General features: G+C 45.2%; 1 protein-coding gene and 1 long non-coding RNA gene across 31 annotated transcripts in view, besides 5 other annotated features; one reads left to right on the top strand and one right to left on the bottom strand.

The window, feature by feature from the left end:
* Positions 1,138-1,197: an enhancer, noted in NCBI's record as "active region_23335". NCBI's record gives its function as "activates an Ori minimal core promoter by ATAC-STARR-seq in GM12878 lymphoblastoid cells {active_cell/tissue: GM12878}" and the evidence as "EXISTENCE:reporter gene assay evidence [ECO:0000049][PMID:35858748]".
* Positions 1,755-16,355, bottom strand: part of ARHGAP26 (Rho GTPase activating protein 26) — a 458,635-nt gene continuing 444,034 nt past the window's right edge. For 13 of the 30 annotated variants that reach the window (NR_146198.2, NM_015071.6, XM_005268402.5 and 10 more), the window contains one exon: positions 1,755-8,408. Coding sequence is in view for 29 of the 30 variants with exons in the window: in NM_015071.6 (NP_055886.1) it covers positions 8,320-8,408 (89 nt within the window). In the remaining variant the exon portion in view is untranslated. Of the gene's footprint in view, positions 8,409-13,932; positions 14,580-16,355 lie in introns of those variants that run through there. The other 17 variants (XM_047416985.1, XM_047416966.1, XM_047416971.1 and 14 more) reach the window with 6 other exon arrangements.
* On the top strand, positions 9,343-16,329 carry LOC124901099 (uncharacterized). Its single transcript, XR_007058981.1, has 2 exons — positions 9,343-13,002; positions 16,167-16,329. It is a non-coding gene; the product is annotated as an uncharacterized LOC124901099 (long non-coding RNA).
* Positions 12,940-13,039: an enhancer, noted in NCBI's record as "active region_23334". NCBI's record gives its function as "activates an Ori minimal core promoter by ATAC-STARR-seq in GM12878 lymphoblastoid cells {active_cell/tissue: GM12878}" and the evidence as "EXISTENCE:reporter gene assay evidence [ECO:0000049][PMID:35858748]".
* Positions 13,580-13,679: a silencer, noted in NCBI's record as "silent region_16479". NCBI's record gives its function as "represses an Ori minimal core promoter by ATAC-STARR-seq in GM12878 lymphoblastoid cells {active_cell/tissue: GM12878}" and the evidence as "EXISTENCE:reporter gene assay evidence [ECO:0000049][PMID:35858748]".
* Positions 15,256-15,804: an enhancer, noted in NCBI's record as "H3K4me1 hESC enhancer chr5:142594527-142595075 (GRCh37/hg19 assembly coordinates)". NCBI's record gives its function as "activates a minimal SCP1, AML or CMV promoter by ChIP-STARR-seq in naive H9 embryonic stem cells {active_cell/tissue: H9 hESC(naive)}" and the evidence as "EXISTENCE:reporter gene assay evidence [ECO:0000049][PMID:30033119]".
* Positions 15,805-16,353: an enhancer, noted in NCBI's record as "H3K4me1 hESC enhancer chr5:142593978-142594526 (GRCh37/hg19 assembly coordinates)". NCBI's record gives its function as "activates a minimal SCP1, AML or CMV promoter by ChIP-STARR-seq in naive H9 embryonic stem cells {active_cell/tissue: H9 hESC(naive)}" and the evidence as "EXISTENCE:reporter gene assay evidence [ECO:0000049][PMID:30033119]".

The following is a 16,355-nucleotide window of genomic DNA, read 5'->3' as shown; positions in this document are numbered from 1 at the left end:
AGCTACCTGGCTTTCAGCTAATAGGAAGTTGCAGCAGGCTTCATGGAGCCAATGACGTAAGAGACGTGACAGATTTACAGTGCGACAGGAGTTGCTAAGTGCTGTGGGATACAGAGGGTCTCCGTGTTGATCATTTCAACTTAAAACCTTCTGGCTTTGGTCCTCACTGTCTGATGTTGACTGGGTACCGCAGGGTGGCTTTCTGAAGGATGCATCCCGGCATGGGCATGCCCCTTCCCTGCGGATGGTTATGCAAAGCTCCTCCATGTGACAAACCTCACCCACCCCGAGCAGTTACCATGGAGGTTAGAGCCTCCCTTGGCTGCTGTGCAGGCTGCAGTCAGCCAACACTGACTAACCCCGCATAGTTAATTAGTGGCAGCTTAGCTTGGTGCTATTAAAAGCAGGGCAAGCCAATGACACTGACACATTCAGGTAGGAGAGAAGTGTGGTATCTGAGTGGAGGTTGGGAAAGAACTGAGAAAATAAGAAATTAGAGCCATGACTTAATTCTCATGAGCAAGCGTGTTTGGGGTCTGAGAAAATCTCTCATCACACTCACTCTCTAACATTTACCTAATTTCAACTGTCAATCAAATCCACTTCTAACCCAGGTGCTCTTAGGACTAATCATGCAGTCAGAACTGAGTGAAAAACACCAAGCAAAACCACAGGACGTGACAGTTTGCGCTCTGCTCTGAGTGGCTGTTAAAAGCAAAACAAAATTAAAACCTTCTGCTAGGAAGGCATGAAAGTTGAAGTGATTGGGAAATCTATTGGAAAGGCCAAGGACAAAGATAAAATACACACCACGTATTTCATTCTCTCCATGAAGGATCAGACATAGATGTACACCATACTCAGAAAGCCTCGCCTAGTTACAGGATGACCCACACATGTGGGACGCTTTGGGTGCTGGGGGAGTTTTCCAGAGGAGGCTGTCAACTCAGTGAGGGCAGCAGCTGCTGCCAGCCTGTGCTGTTCACAGGGGTAAACGAGTGCCCGAAGTGGCAAATGAGGACAAGCAGACAGCTCACATGTGACCCACGCATTTAAATAGCCCCCCTCCCCTTAGAACCAGGACCAAGGGAGCTTCACATCCCTTCCTCCCCTCCCAGGGCAAGCATCTGAAGCCAGAAGCCTCATCCTCAGTCCCCAGAGCGCTGGCTTCCCCATGCCGCCTCCACTGAGCCCATCAGGGAGTCCTCTGTGCTTGTGGCAGAAGCTGGGAGCTCACTGGAAGCCTGGGTCCCAGGCTGCCACTCAGAATGTATCTGGAAGGGACATGATGAATGCGAAGACTCAGTGATCTGGCTTGGCCTGGGACAGCATGCAACAAGCTCTAAACAACAGACTTACAAACCAGCTGTGCTGGGGGCATTGCCTGTGTTCTGGCTCTGATGATTCCATCCTTGTGTTCATGAGGTTTCAGAAAATAGGTGATTAGAAAGTCAAATTTAGGAAGAATAAAACAATATGTATTCTAAGAGAAGAACGTTAGAAATGTGAAGTGGACTATGACTCTTCGGGCTCAATTGTTTAATATGCCTGAGGAGCAAATTCTCAAGTTTCCTAGCATCTGACCTCTTCCTAAATGGAAAGCAAAGCTTCTCAGAGCTCATCAGAAATAAGCACGGTGGTTGTCACCAAAAACCGCAGGAGCCGAGACTTGTGACCTTTGATCATCATGTATATATGCTTATTTGAAGACATATTAAAGCATGTATTGAGTCAAACTCTATCAGAAACTCAAGAAAATACCACCAAATGGAAAAGTCATTTAATTCAAAAATCATACGTCCACTCATTTCATAGGGATTGTCACATAAACCAACCACATGTAAGAAAGCCAAGTTTCAGAGGCCTCTGAACAGAAATTTTGTTTTCTTTATAGATATATTTGGTGACACAAAAGCATTTTTTAAAAGCCTGAACATGGCAACAGGGCTACTAACAGGGACAAAGGTCTATTCTAGTCACAGATTACTTTCTAATTACAGCATTGGATTCTATGCACGAGTCAATAGTCAATACTGAAGTTTAGAACAGTGCGTTATTTTAAAAGAAAACATTAAAGTGCCATTTAATAAGTACTTTATTGATATTATATCACACAGCACTTTACAGTATACTCAAAGATAGCCTAAATTATGAATTAAACATGCAAATATTTTCTTTTCCAAAATGTGGACAAAATGTCTTTTAGAGTGCTTTTGAACACTAGCCTTAGCTACTAAGCATTCATGGGTTTGATCTTTCTTGCGACATGACTTTAAGTAAGTTAACAAAAAATGTAGCTGTAGACAGTAATTGTTTGATAAATATGAACAGTTTTAAAATGGCACTGAATTTACATCTTTAATCATTTTAATAGGCCATCCACAGCCTCTCTTGTGTCTCTAATTCTCAACCTCCGAGTCTTAAAGGCTGTAAAGGCTCAGAAAGTGCCAGCTCATGTGGGTCTCTGTAAGTGTCTATGTCTTCATAGATGTAAATATGTGCTGTATACACACACATACACACACACATAAATATACTTTAGAATCAACAGATGTGCATTGTCAGATACAAGGTTGATTCTGGCATCTGGATAACCAAGAAAGCTGCTTTTAGGTGTCTGGACAACTTTGTAGAAATGGTTGACGTAGAACAGTATAGAATGTCTTAACCTCTCCAGGACTGCTCCAGGTAACTGACATTTTGTTTATCAATACTCTGGTTCTGACTAAAGTGAATTTTGACATGGACATGTCATGTCATGTCATACCCACACAAGGGTCTAGGTCTATGCTAAGCCTTTGCTCTCTAAAGCATTCCACCTTGAGAGACGTTTTCACTCTGTAATGTCTGGCACAACTTTTGTAAAAATATTAGCTGTGAAATTTTTCTGTGATCGCTTTTTTTTTTCTCCTCAGTAAGCATAATATTTATCCTTCTAAAAAAGTATCCAAAGCTCCTTAGGATGGTTCACCTTTCTCTTTCTCTCTAGTCCTGGTGTTACTTTGCATCCAACACTTTTTCCTCTCAATAATACAGGTGCTTCCACTGGAAGACCACATTTCAGCAAGGACTGGCTCTGAATGACACCTGGATTCTATGGCCTTTCCCTCCACTTTGGGAAGCTCTTTAGTTAGACAGGTACTGTAGGCGGCAGGAGAAAAAAAGCTAATTATTACTTGTTGGAGTCTTGTCTCAGGCATGCTGTGGGGCTGTGCAAGATTCGCTGCTCTGCTGCTGTTGTCATTTTGATGCTACAATTACAGAGAGGCGGTTCAGCACCCAGCCGATCGGTGTGGCTGCCAAACACATTTGAGCATGACAAGATAAATTTGTTAGACACCAGCACAGGGTGGGTGAGAAGACATCCTGCTGACTTTATAAAGTGATGTGGGGCAGGGTTGTCGAGGTAAGTGATGATTGTCAAGTTTGCCAGAGATGATAGATAACTCCTTTGGCAGAACACCTAGGTCATTCCTTTTAAAGTCAGGTAGCTAAGAGGCTGTTTGGTTTCTGCAGCGCTGGCTACCTACTTGGGGAACATGGTTGCTCACAAAACATTCAGTACTTGGGCAAACTCTGGGTGCCATGGTGGCCACTGCTGTCTCCGGGAGTGCCATGTCCACAAAACTCAGTCATCCAGACTTGCTTTTGGGAGCAGAAGCCAGAGGATGACAGGTGCCAACAGACAGGCAGGGATCAGGTTATCTTTGGCTTCTTCTTTCTGTCTTTCTCCCCCTCAACTGTGAATGCTTTTGGAGCCTCTGCAGTCAAGACAGAGCTTTTACTGAGACAGCAGTTGCCATTTTCAGCTGATAGAAACTCAGGGGATAGAAGGCCTTCCCTTTGAGCCGCAGGTATGGCACACACAACTCTGCAGCTCTGGGCAAGTGCCTTGGGATGCCCTTGTCACTAGTATGGCTCTGTCCTGCTAATGCCAGTCTGTCAATACTTGATTGTTCATTCTTTCTCTTTGCCTCTCACCGAAAAGCACTCGGTGAGAGGAAATGAACTGATATTCAAAAAGACAGTGTGGTCTGACATAAGAAAACACATATTGGCCGTATAAATACTTCAGACATTAAGCTAAAGACTGGCTCCAATTCTAGGACACCAAGGCAGGCCACAATGCACAGGGTCCATCCCTATATATGTTTATTTTGAAAAACAGGAGAAAAGATCTTCTGTCTTGAGCAAGTCAGGGTTTTACTTGCCTGGGGGCAGGGATTTGAAACCAGCTGTCTTCTCCTGGCATGGCATTCTTTTTTTTTTTTTTTTTTTTTCCTTTGAGACGGAGTCTGGCTCTGTCACCCAGGCTGGAGTGCAGGGGCGTGATCTTGGCTCACTGCAATCTCTGCCTCCTGGGTTCATGCCATTCTCCTGCCTCAGCCTCCAGAGTAGCTGGGACTACAGGCGCCCGCCACCACACCCGGCTAATTTTTTGTATTTTTAGTAGAGACGGGGTTTCACCGTCGTAGCCAGGATGGTCTCAATCTCCTGACCTCGTGATCCGCCCGCCTCGGCCTCCCAAAGTGCTGGGATTATAGGCGTGAGCCACTGCACCCGGCCATGGCATTCTTTAGCTACGAAATTTTGTTAGTAACCTGAAGGAAGAGTGAGAGGCTGACCTTAATACCCCTAAAAGATTCAGGCTATGGCTAAGTGATCCCTGGGTCTTACAAAGGAAACTGGAGGCTACTGGGAAAGCTCAGGGATCCTGGGCCATGGTCTTCCACTCTGATAACCAATTCATTCTCCTCATCTGCCCTAAAGTTTCCTGTTCACACAGAGAGAGTCAGAGGTAGGGGGCATGGATAGGGGAGAGAGTAAAATCTTTAGTCTTCAAGTTCCTTCCTACTCATTGGCTCATATTCTGAAGTTTATCCAGTTTTGTAGCTAATAGGAAGGAGGGGAGCCTGGCTGGGCAAAGGGAAACAGAGAAGCCATCTGTCAAGGGCACCGCACAGCCACAGGGAAGCTGGGGAGGGGGTACCTGAAAGATCCCATTGGCAGCAGCTCATGGGCACTGCACAGACACACGGAAGCTAGGGAGGGAGTTACCTAAAAGATCCCATTGGCAGCAGCTCTGTTTCTCCCGATTTCAAATCAGAGCCAACTCAAGAGGGAGGGACATGCTTCCAAGCAGTGAAGCTGGGGCCAAATGTCTACAGGGATGCTTCGTGAGGCACCCCCAAAGCAAGGATCTTGGCCTTCTGTTCCTCCACATGAGCTCCAGGTAAGTTTATGATGGGACAGATTACAACTTCAAACATCAAATGTGGTCGGCCGCAGCGGCTCACACCTGGAATCCCAGCACTTTGGGGGTCTGAAGTGGGCAGATCACTTGAGGTCAGGAGTTCGAGATCAGCCTGGCAAACATGGCAAAACCCCATCTTTACTAAAAATACAAAAAACTAGCTGGGTGTGATGGCTCATGCCTGTAGTCCCAGCTACTTGGGAGGCTGAGACAGGAGAATCACTTGAACCTGGGAGGTGGAGGTTGCAGTGAGCCAAGATTGCGCCACTGCACTCCAGCCTGGGCCACAGAGTGAGACTCCATCTCAAAAAACAAACAAAAACACAAATAAAAAACCTCATCAAATGTGTTAAAAGCATGATGTTGGTCTCTCTTTGAGAAGCGTAATAGTATGTGAATGCACATCCCCTGAGGCCTCCATTTCCCAAGGTCTTCTTGTCCTCAGGTTCACAGATCTAACCTACTAGTATACTCCCTTTCTTCTCGAGTTTTCCCCAGTGGCTTTCTTGAGTTCTGTCTTGGTCCTGTCCATTCTTAATTCTCATTCCCTGATTCAATGGTAGTGTCTCGCTTGCTCCTGGGTGAGTTCCCGGAAAAGAGCTGTATAATCCTTGAGCTGATAAACTGAGTAGTGAATCACCATGACAAACCCCTGTTAACTTTAAAACCACCTGTAAAGCTATGACGGCACAATCTATACCCCTCCTGGAGTCTTCCTCTTCTTTTGGGATCACGGGAATTGGAGGTGAAAGGGAAGAGTTTTAAAATGTTTAGGAGAAGGGAAAGCAGCAGCACATTGAGAACTGAACATTCTAAGAAGCTGGTTCTTTAAGAACTTACAGACGCACACAAAATTTGAAAACTAGCTTGTCCACATTTCTAAAGCCTCAGAAGATGTGGAGAAAAAGAAGTAAAGAGCACAGCAACTGACTCATCTCTTTCTGGCCTGATATCTTGGGGGTACCAAGAAATACACCTGAGAAGAAAGACAAAAACTCGAATGCCTGACCCCACTTATTTAAATCCTGAGCTTCATCTTACTACTAAGTAGGCATTCTTTGAAAAACTCATTGCCTGGAGATGCTCTTCCCATCTCCAAATCCAAAGCCCAAGGGATGCTTAAAAACACATAAAGACTGAACACCACTGATGTGTCGTGCCCACCAACAGGACAGCAGAGAGCAAGGCCATAGAAATGTCTTCTCTTTCCTTCAGGCCGAAGCGGGGACAGTGACCTTGACTCTCTTCAGCTTTGCCTCCCCTCTCTCCCTCTTAAACATACTTCTTCAGCAATCAAAGCCTAAGTGTGTGAGCAACTAACTTAAAGAATATCAAATATAAAACTTTGCCATATAGTATTTCAAATCACTCTATTTACAAGTTTATCTTTTCAAAAAAAAAAAAGTAAAAGATACAGTAATTCAACACAATTCAAGTTTTTCTTTTCTTCTTTAAAGTTCCCTAACAAGGAATTCCAGAAACAGGAAACACTCTGAAGCAACGCTGCCATCCAAGGGGCTCCTGGGGAGCTTGACGGTCCATCGGTTTGTAGTTTGTCTAGAGTCACCCTTGCAATGACATTCACATGTGGAAGATACGGATAACTCTGTTGTTTGCAGGCCAAGTGAATTTGAAATCTCCAGGTAGTACTTCCCCATCCAAGACAGTCTTCCACAAGATCCAGCCTCTTTTCACCAGCAAATTCCCTTTTTCAGAGGGTACTCATCCCACCCTCCAACCTTGGGTTTCTTCCTGAATCACAATGGCCTATATTAGTCTCAAGCCTTGAAAGACTGAGAAATAATTCCCTTTTTCAGAGTGGCAGTGAACATAGATGTGCTTTTAAACTATAGGCCATACGGTTAGCCTAGGAATTAACCTTGAAAACCACCACAGCACCAGTGTTCAGCAGCCCAGAGTAGGGCAAGGGGGCTGGCCAGTGGTGGGTTAGAGGCAGGCAAGGGTGGGAGCAGAGATGGGTGAATGGGAGGACATGGGGAAACCAGTCAGATGGCATCACCCATTGGGAGGCAGCATCTTACCCTTTAAAAAACAAACATCAGTTGCATGGAGGAACAGAAATATTAAGACTATGTAATTTAATCTCAAGAGGTTACTAGGGTGTGCTCCAAATATATTCCGATGCTGCTGAAATTAATCAGAAAGGGAACAGTTCCCAGCTACTATCCCATCTGCCTCAAGTAGACCACCCTAATTCCTTGATCCTGTGCTTCAAGTTGTTAGAAAACCATTCAAAAAAAGTGTACCAAAAAGGGGAGAAAAAAAATGTGTCATGCAAAGAGGATGTGTTATTTTATTTTTTTGGTTTGGTTTTAGAGTAGGTTGGGTTGCCGTGGTTACTAGGCGATGGATGGCAGCCCTTGGTGGCAGAGAGGTTCCTAGCCTGGGAGGGAGAAACGCAGGGTGTGTGTGTTCCCGTGCATGAGAAGACTGGATTGTATCTCACTGATGACAGGCCAACGGCTGCTTTAGAGATGGTGAGAGATTGGATCTTATATAAACAGTGTTTTAACCCTCTTCATCCTGCATGCAAACAGATCCAGCTGCCTGTAGCACTTTAAGTCTCAAGTACTGAGAGGTGGGGTAGAGAGAGTGCCTATTGTAAACAAAAGCAATGGATCCAGCCTGGATCTCAGCGCCAATTTCTTCACCCAGCCCCAGCAGGCTTAGCTACACAGTGTGCTCTCAGGGACTATTTCTATCTGACTTCCTCTTTCTGAAGGTTGGGCGTTTGGACCGTTGAAACAAAATGAGTGCCCCCTATTCAGGGTACTCATGAGAAAACGGCTTTGCAAGTCTTCCTCTTAGTTATCAAATGCTCTCCTCTGCTGATTGACTTCTTTTCTTGCAGTACTGATGCATGTTGGCTGAGATGATCATGGAGATGAGTGACACCAGAGCTCACAGAAACATTCATGTTGACAGGTAGCAACAGAGTCAGTCACGCTGCATTTCTCAGTGGCAAAGAGAAATGGCCTCGACACTGGAATCAGCAGTTGTCATGGATACCATGTAAAGCTCAGCAGTTCTGCTGGGGCCCACGGTTAGAGGAACTCCACGTAATTCTCAGGGATGAGGCCAGTCTTTCCGTTCAGAGTCCCCTCCAACCAGCCAGGCTCCTGAGATGGGTGAACTGTACAGGAAGGGGAGAGAAAGCGAGAAGAGATGGCATTACAGATAGAGCAGGCGGCAGATGTGTGTGTGGGGTGTGTGTGTGTGTGTGTGTGTGTGTGTGTGTGTGTGTATGAAGGAAGCTTGGACAATGAGTACAATCACTTATTAAGTTACATCATTCTAGAAGTTTAAACCAAAGGTTCTGAACCTTTTGTGGAATATAAGCCTTCTGATGAAAGCTGTCCTGAACTTTCTTTACAATGAAAAAGGAAACAGACACAGACATACAAAATTTTGTGTACAATTTTAGGGGTTTCACGGATTTTCTGAAGCTCCTGGTTTAAACTACAAAGAAGTGACAGATTCCTACTCTTGTTAGAGGGCAACAGTTGTCCTGGTCCATCCATACATGTATCCATCCTTCCATCCTTCCTTCCTTCCTTCCTTCCTTCCATCCATCCACCCACCCACCTGCCCAGTATCAACTATGTACTCAGTGCAGTGCCCATGGAAGACTGCTAAGAACTACTCTTTAAAGATATCCAGCTTCTAGAGGCTGGGCCTGGTGGTTCACGCCTGTAATGCCAGTACCTTGGGAGGCTGAGGCAGGTGAATTGCTTTAGCCCAGGAGTTTAAGAACAGCCTGGGCAACATGGCAAAACCTTGTCTCTACAAAATATACAAAAACTACCTAGGTTTGATGGAGCGTGTCTGTAGTCCCAGCTACTTGGAGGAGGGGGAGTGCCGAAGCGGGAGGATCGCTTGGGCTCAGCAGGTCGAGGCTGCAGTGAGCCGTGATTGCACCACTGCACTCCAGCCTGGGCGACAGAGCAAGACCCTGTCTCAATCAATCAATCCAGCTTCTTGTCATCATCTTACTTTCCTTCAAATCCTTACCCCCTGCTTCTAATTTCCTTGCAAATTTTCTGGGGTTTTTTTTTTTTTTTTTTTTGGTTGCTGTCATTTTGAATAGCCTTTGAATAGCCATTTCTCTGTTTCACTCACACCCTTTCTTAGTTTTCTTTCCTGTTCTCTAGATTTCCCCCTCCTCTATATACCAGTTTGAAAATTCTTCTCTTCCTCCCTCTATTGCCCTTTGATTTTTCAGTATCCAAAGAATATATATCTACTTTTGTGACATCATGATCCATCTCCATGGAAACCATTGTGATATTATAAAGATTATCTAAAATCCAGCTGAGTCTGCACAGTAGTCAATAGCAGGAAGGAAGAGAGAAGGAATCATGGGACTAAGAGGTGGGGGATGTTCATGCTTGTCAACTGAAGATGTACAGATCACTCTGCAGTGAGGCAGGACATTTACTCTTAATGTGTTAGGAAAACTCCAATTTTCCAAGATTATTTGGAGAGAATAGATTTTCCCCTATTCCCTTCCTGGGCTAATTAAATGACTTCCTGAGCTTGTTTTAGAAAAGCATTTCCGCTCCGACACTGCTACAGAATTCTAGTTTCAGTTTGTAGGGAAAGACGCAAGAACAGAAACCAAAGGAGACAAATGGGAGGCAGCAAAAGAATCAGCCTTGAGGCTTCCAGAAGATCAGTGTCAGTCAACTTTGGGTACACCTTGAGTGCCTCCTTAGGAAAAGACAAGGTTAAACATCTATTAGTTGGCCTCCAAAGTTGGCCAATTTCAGATCACTAAGCTTCAGGAATAAACAGCAAGGATACTTTGGGTTCATGACAACCCACACAAGAGACAGTCTGGGAGAGAAGTGCCTTGGAAGAAGACACAACTTAAAAGCAACCTGGCCTCTCCAATGACCAAAGCTCTCCCATGCCACTCTTAAAGAACACCCATATACCCCTGCCCTCTGCCCATCCATCCAACCAAAGCTTCCAAGATCACTTCAGTTTCTGCACTTCATACTGGTGACAACAAGACCCTCTTCCCTTTACTGGGTTCTTGCAAATATGAAAGGAGCTGGTGTGGATAAAGCACTCGGCACAGAGCCAGGCACAGAGCAAATGCTCAGTACAGGCTAGTCAGTAGGAGACCCTGGATCGGGACTGCTCAGCAAGACCCCCTCCTAGTAGCGACCTAGTAAAACCAGATGGCCCTTACCACCCACCTAAGCTTCAGGAAAAATCAAATGTTTAGAATAAAATTAACAAATCAAACCCATTCTCCAAAATAAAAACGTAGAAAGAATAAAGCAGCCAGACTGACAAAACAAAAAAACAAAAACCAGGCCCTCCCGCTTTATAGCCAAGCTCCAAGTTGAGTTATTACTCTACTGGATGCACTGAGTCCATCTCCTTCAGACCTTTCTCCTTTTCCTGGCTAGCTGTTCACCCACAGCACAGGTACTGGGGTGAAAACATTTACAATGCAATTTGAGGGCTAAGGGAAGAATTAGAGGGGACAAGAGAGGCCCTCCAAACTGGAGGCCAAAAGGTAGGTCACAGGAGATGGCAGGAGATAACACAGCCTTTGGGTTGGACTGCTGACTCACTGAGGCTTCAAGCCAGGATTTATACGAAAGCATGTGCCAGACCATGTGCTTCGGAACCCTCAGGATGCTTATTCAAACTGCACATTCCTGGGCCCCATGGCAAATCAATTAAAGCAGAATCTCTGGGAATGGGACACAGGAACCTGTATTTTCACTAGCTCACAGGAAGTTAGGAGCTATAACTTTTCTGTGCCCAAATGCCTCTGAGATAAAATGCAAATTGTCATTTACTAATAGAGGAGGGAGGCAGCACCAGTGCCCCCTTTCTTTCTGCTGTCTTCTGTTTCCATGTAAAGGCTTAGCTGAAGCCCCACTTCCTTTGTAAATACTACCATGGAATCCCTTCTACCTGCTCCCTCCTCCTCCAGACACCTAAAATGCTCATAGTACATTCCACATAGTATTCATGGGTCCTATTTATATGCTGTTCAAACGTGCTAAGCTTTGCTTCTCTATCTAGTTTTTCAGTGCGTTTTGGTTTGGATTATAGCACTTCCTGGCTCCACAACCTTCAGTAACTCCCTTCTGCCTCGTGAATTATAATGATACAAGCTAACACTTAGATATGTTATGAAGCTGCTGTGTGCTTGGAGTTTTAGACATGTTGATTCATTTGATCCTCAGGATCCCAGCTTGTATTATTATTATCTGTATTTTGCAGATGAGAAAATTAAGGCTCAGAGAGGTAAAATAATTTGTGCATGGTCATAATACTGGAACCAAAATTTGAACCCAGCTTGTTTGACTCCAGAGACCAACTCCCTTCCCACTGTATCAGGCCTCTATTTAACCAGAGGGTGTGACCCATGCTGATAAGGATGATAACATGTTGAGCACATGCCAGGTGGCAGACCCTTTGCGAATACGCACTTCACACCTGAGTTTCCTCCTTTCATCTTCAGAATGACTATGGAGTTGGTTCTGCTATTATCCTCACTTTACTGATGAAAAACTGTGGCTGTGAAAAGTTAAGCATCTTGGCCAAAATTAAATATTAATAGCTGGTAGACAATGAAAATGAATCAGAGACCAAGACATCTGATCCCAGAGTCTGTCACCTTAACTACTACTGCTGTTGCCTAGCCCAATGCTCTGAACATCAAAGATGCTAAGTGCTTGTTGGGCTGAATGGCGCCAATGTGCAACACTGAACTGCACCAGTGTCCAACATGCTATACAAACACAAAAGGTGTTGCCACAAGCTGCCTGAGTGGCTCTTCAGCTCAACAGCATATACTAAATATAAGCTGCTGGGGACATGGGTGAGCTTCCTGCCAACCACTTTCTCTCGGCTCTACCCATGTACACCATACATCCCTGTGTACACAACTCATGTCTTCTGCCCTCCTTCACTCACCATGGACAGGGAGCAAGTGTGTGACTAAGGTCTCTAATGGCTGACTGTCCCCAAAAGAAGTCTTAACTAAAAGAGGTGCAGACCCCTGGGTAATTAAAGTACATTCACTCATTTAACAAATGTTTACTGAGCACCTACCACGTGCTAGACACCATGCTAGGTCCTTGCACATAGCACAGAACAAGCAGACCAGATTTTGCTCGGCAGGACAATCAAGCAATAAGCAAGCATATAATTTTAGGTAGTGGTAAAAGGAGAGAGAAAGACTAGAGCAGTGGGTAGTGCAAGTACAACGGCCCTGTGACGGGAAAAAGCTGGGCATGATTTTAGAACAGTGGTGTGCATCTATTTCTTAAAGGGCCTCATAGTGAGAGTGTCTCTCTCCTTAACTCTGCCACTGTAGTGCCACAGATAACACGCAGACACAAAGGCATGAGTGTCTGTGTTCCAGTAAAGCTTTATTTACAAAAACAGGTGGCGGGTTGGATTTGACTGGCAGGTCATAGTTTGCTGACCTTACTTGAGAACATAAAGAAGGCCTGCAAAGCTGCAGTATGTCAAGTGAGGGTGAGAGGAGGTCAGAGGGGTAGGAACTAGGCCCTAGGGGCCTTGTAAGTCATTCTCAGAGCAGTGGGAGGCCACTGATAGATTTTAAGCAGGAAATAACATGATGTGATTTTCATTTTCAAAGATGACTCTTGCTGCTATGTGAAGAAGGGGTTCTGGGAGCAAGAGTGGAAGCCAGTGACAAGATGTGTCAGGCGGCCAGTGGAAGCGCCCAGGTGAGAGGTGAAGGTGGCCTGGGCTTGGGCGTGGCAGCGAAGATGGCTGGAGAAACTGAAGGAGATCCCTGAGTGCCCTCCTGTTAACCCATTTCCTAGGCAGCTTGGGGGCTCCCCCATGAGGATGTTCTCCAGCAGCAAAGGAAATTTGGGACAGGCCTGCTGTGTAGTGGTGCTGTGTTAGGTACCATGGGAATGAATGGATCCAGCTCCTCTCAAATCTTATTAAAAGTATCCCTAGAACCCAATTTTAGTGACTGCCATGTGCATTTTCCAGGTATCACGAATCATGCTGCTTCAAGATGACTAACGTTCCTGAGAATATGAGCTATTTCTCTTTCCAGTTACTGTCTGAGGTGCTCTTGTTGAAATGGACAGTTTCCCAGTAGATTGGCCAGGGATGACACTGGAATTATTTCTAGGTATTGCACGTATTGCACATCCATTTCCCACTGCACAAAGCCCATGAGCTGACAGCAGCAGCCACTCCAGAGTCACAGTAGGGGCCCCTGGAATCCAAAGGCTTCAAGATTAATCATTACGAAACAACAGACTTTCCCCTCCACGGGCCCCTCCCTTTTCCTCTTCCTTATTCATTCTTCTTAATCCTGAAACACACAAAAAGACACACATACACACACACACGTGCACTTTCTGATTGGTTTGATCATTTAATCTGACAACTACACAGCATACAAATTAAACAGCCTTTACCTCATATCCCCAGCAGTAAACTAACAAGAAATGGAACAAGGAAAAAGACCCCCCACCCCACCCACCGCCTGACAGAATAATAGTGTTCTGTAATGCCTCATTTTCTCCTGTAGAGGTGAAGGAGTGGGGAGGAAGAGGGTCTGTGTAAGCATTTTCCTCTGGAAAAAAGACCTAATAACATATTTTGAGCTAACCCAATTGAGAAAGTGTACTAACGTTTTGTCAGGTCCATTTTCTACTGCAACTCAGTCAACACTGAGAGGTGTTTTCTTTCAGGTTCAATTTGGCCTTTTGCTCCTCAGGGAATTTGAAAGGTCACTGGCAAGGCTGGTTAAAAGCAGACCAGTGTCAGCGAACTCTGCCATGACTCCTAGAGACCACAGGAAGGCTTGGGTAAGGTCTCTCACTCACTCAACCAAACTTTCCTCCTGCTCTCAACAATACCTATAGGATTTATGATGACGACCATGTTGTATGTGGGAGCAGTTACAGAATTGTTAGGTGACAGGTGGCAGGTTGGATTTGACGGGCAGGTCATAGTTTGCCGACCTTGCTTGAGAACATGAAGAAGGCATGAGGCTGTAGTATGTCAAGTGAGGGCGTGAGGTCAGAGGGGCAGGAACTGGGCCCTGGAGGGCCTTGTAAGTAATTCTCAGAGCAATGGGAGGCCACTGAAGGGCTTTAATGCCATTTCCGTTTTTCAAAGATCACTCTCGCTGCTCTGTAAAGAGGGGGTTATGGCAGCAAGAGCAGATGTGAGAAGATGTGTCAGGCGGCCAGTGGAAGTGCCCAGGTGAGAGGTGGAGGTGCCCGGAGCTTCGGTGTGGCAGTGAAGATGGCTGTGGAAGCTGAAGGACACTCTGCTGGGGAAAAAAAGGACTTGGCAGTTAACAATCATCCAGGCTTCTCTTCCTTTTTCCCCCTTTATGCTTAACTATTTAAGCTACTGCAGAAAGACTTAAAAATGAAAGAAGGTAGGAACATAAAATGGTAAAATGGTGCAACTTCTTTGTGAAACAGTTCGGCATTTCCTCAAACACTTAAACACGGAATTAATATGACCCTGCAATCCCACTCCTAGGTATATCCCCAAGAGAACTGGAAACCTACGCCCTCACAAAAACCTACACACATGTTCACAGCAGCATTATTCAAGCAGCCAAAAAGAGGAAACAACGTGCCCATCTACTGATGAATAAGCTTACATAAAATGTGCTATATCCATACCATCGCACATAAAAAGGAAGAAGGTTCTGACATGCTACAATGTGGATGAACCTTGAAAACATTATGCAAACTAAAGAATCCAGTTTCAAAGATCACATACTATATAATTCCATTTGTATGAAATGTCCGGAGCAGGCAAATCTAGAGAGACAAAGTAGAAGAGTGGTTGCCTTGGGCTGGATGGAAATGGGTTGTGGTAAGTGGGGCATGACTGCTAAAAGGTATGGGGTTTCTTTTGGGGGTGATGAAAATATTCTGGAATTATATAGTGGCAATGGTTGCACAACTCTGAATATACTAAAAACCATTGAATTGTACATTTTAAATGGGTAAATTGTATGTTGTATGGCTATCTTAATAAACCGTTAAAAAATGGAAGAAGGCTGCACTCACCAAAAGGAATCAAAAAGAAGACAGAAGCATATACATAACTTTTGATAGTTTAAAACAATTCTGCCCCTGAGATCAGGAGTCCTTTGTGTTGTCAGAGGGAATGGTTGTTAGAAACATGATGATCCCCTGCCCATATGAGCAGTGAATTGGGACTTAGAGGACAGACCTTTAAGCCCTGGATTCACCTGTCAATGTAGGAATCTCTCAAATCCTGCTCTTCTATAGGCAGAAGCCCCTTCCTTGCTGACAAAGCAGGGGGGCAGAAGCCCAAGCAACGCAGCCCATTCTGGTTTGTCTTCTGCAAGGGCCGTGTCATGTTACGGCAGGGCCAGGACTCCGCCGCCTGGGCCTGTGTGGGGGACACTCACCAGTGAAATGGCTTTGGACAGCCTTCAGCAGACCCACTGCACCTGCAGTCTGCTGGGGCCTGCAAGCACCAGCTGTGGACAGGAGAGGTGGCTGGGCTGGCTGTTCGTGCATTTTGATTTATAAAGGGCCTAGATGAAAGTTAATGGAGCAAAGGCTTAAGGACAGTGCTTGAGGCTTTGAGAACGATAAAAGGGAATGCAGACTCAGACGCCCACATGCAGTTCTGGGGTAATCCCTCCCACTCCTGCTGACCCAGAAGGCCAAGGGTTGAGTGTGACCTGGGAGAGACCCTCATGTTCTGTGCCTTGTTCCCCCTTTTGTCTACCTGTACCTGATGGATATCTCTGCTATGCTGAATGCAGGGGCTGGGCACACACAATGGCAGCCCCTGTGGACGTGACTACAGTCAAGGGCTGGTCCCCAGGAACTCATCTCTGCTCTGGCCTGGAATGTGTTTACAGATGCAGCCAGGACCCACGGAATCAGGTGCAGCACCCACTGCCCAGACAAAAGTGAGGAAAAACTGTCACTGTGAACTATGAGAGCATCAGGGCCTTTTTCGAAGATGGATACAATGATGATGATGGTTTTAATAATAAAAATATTAATTTAGTGAATGCTTAATACATGTTGAGTACCATTTTAAACAT

Source organism: Homo sapiens, chromosome 5 (assembly GCF_000001405.40).
Source record: "Homo sapiens chromosome 5, GRCh38.p14 Primary Assembly".
In the NCBI taxonomy this organism is placed as follows: Eukaryota; Metazoa; Chordata; class Mammalia; order Primates; family Hominidae; genus Homo; species Homo sapiens.
Note: the sequence above shows the minus strand (reverse complement) of the source record. Positions and strands in the feature narration are given on the sequence as shown.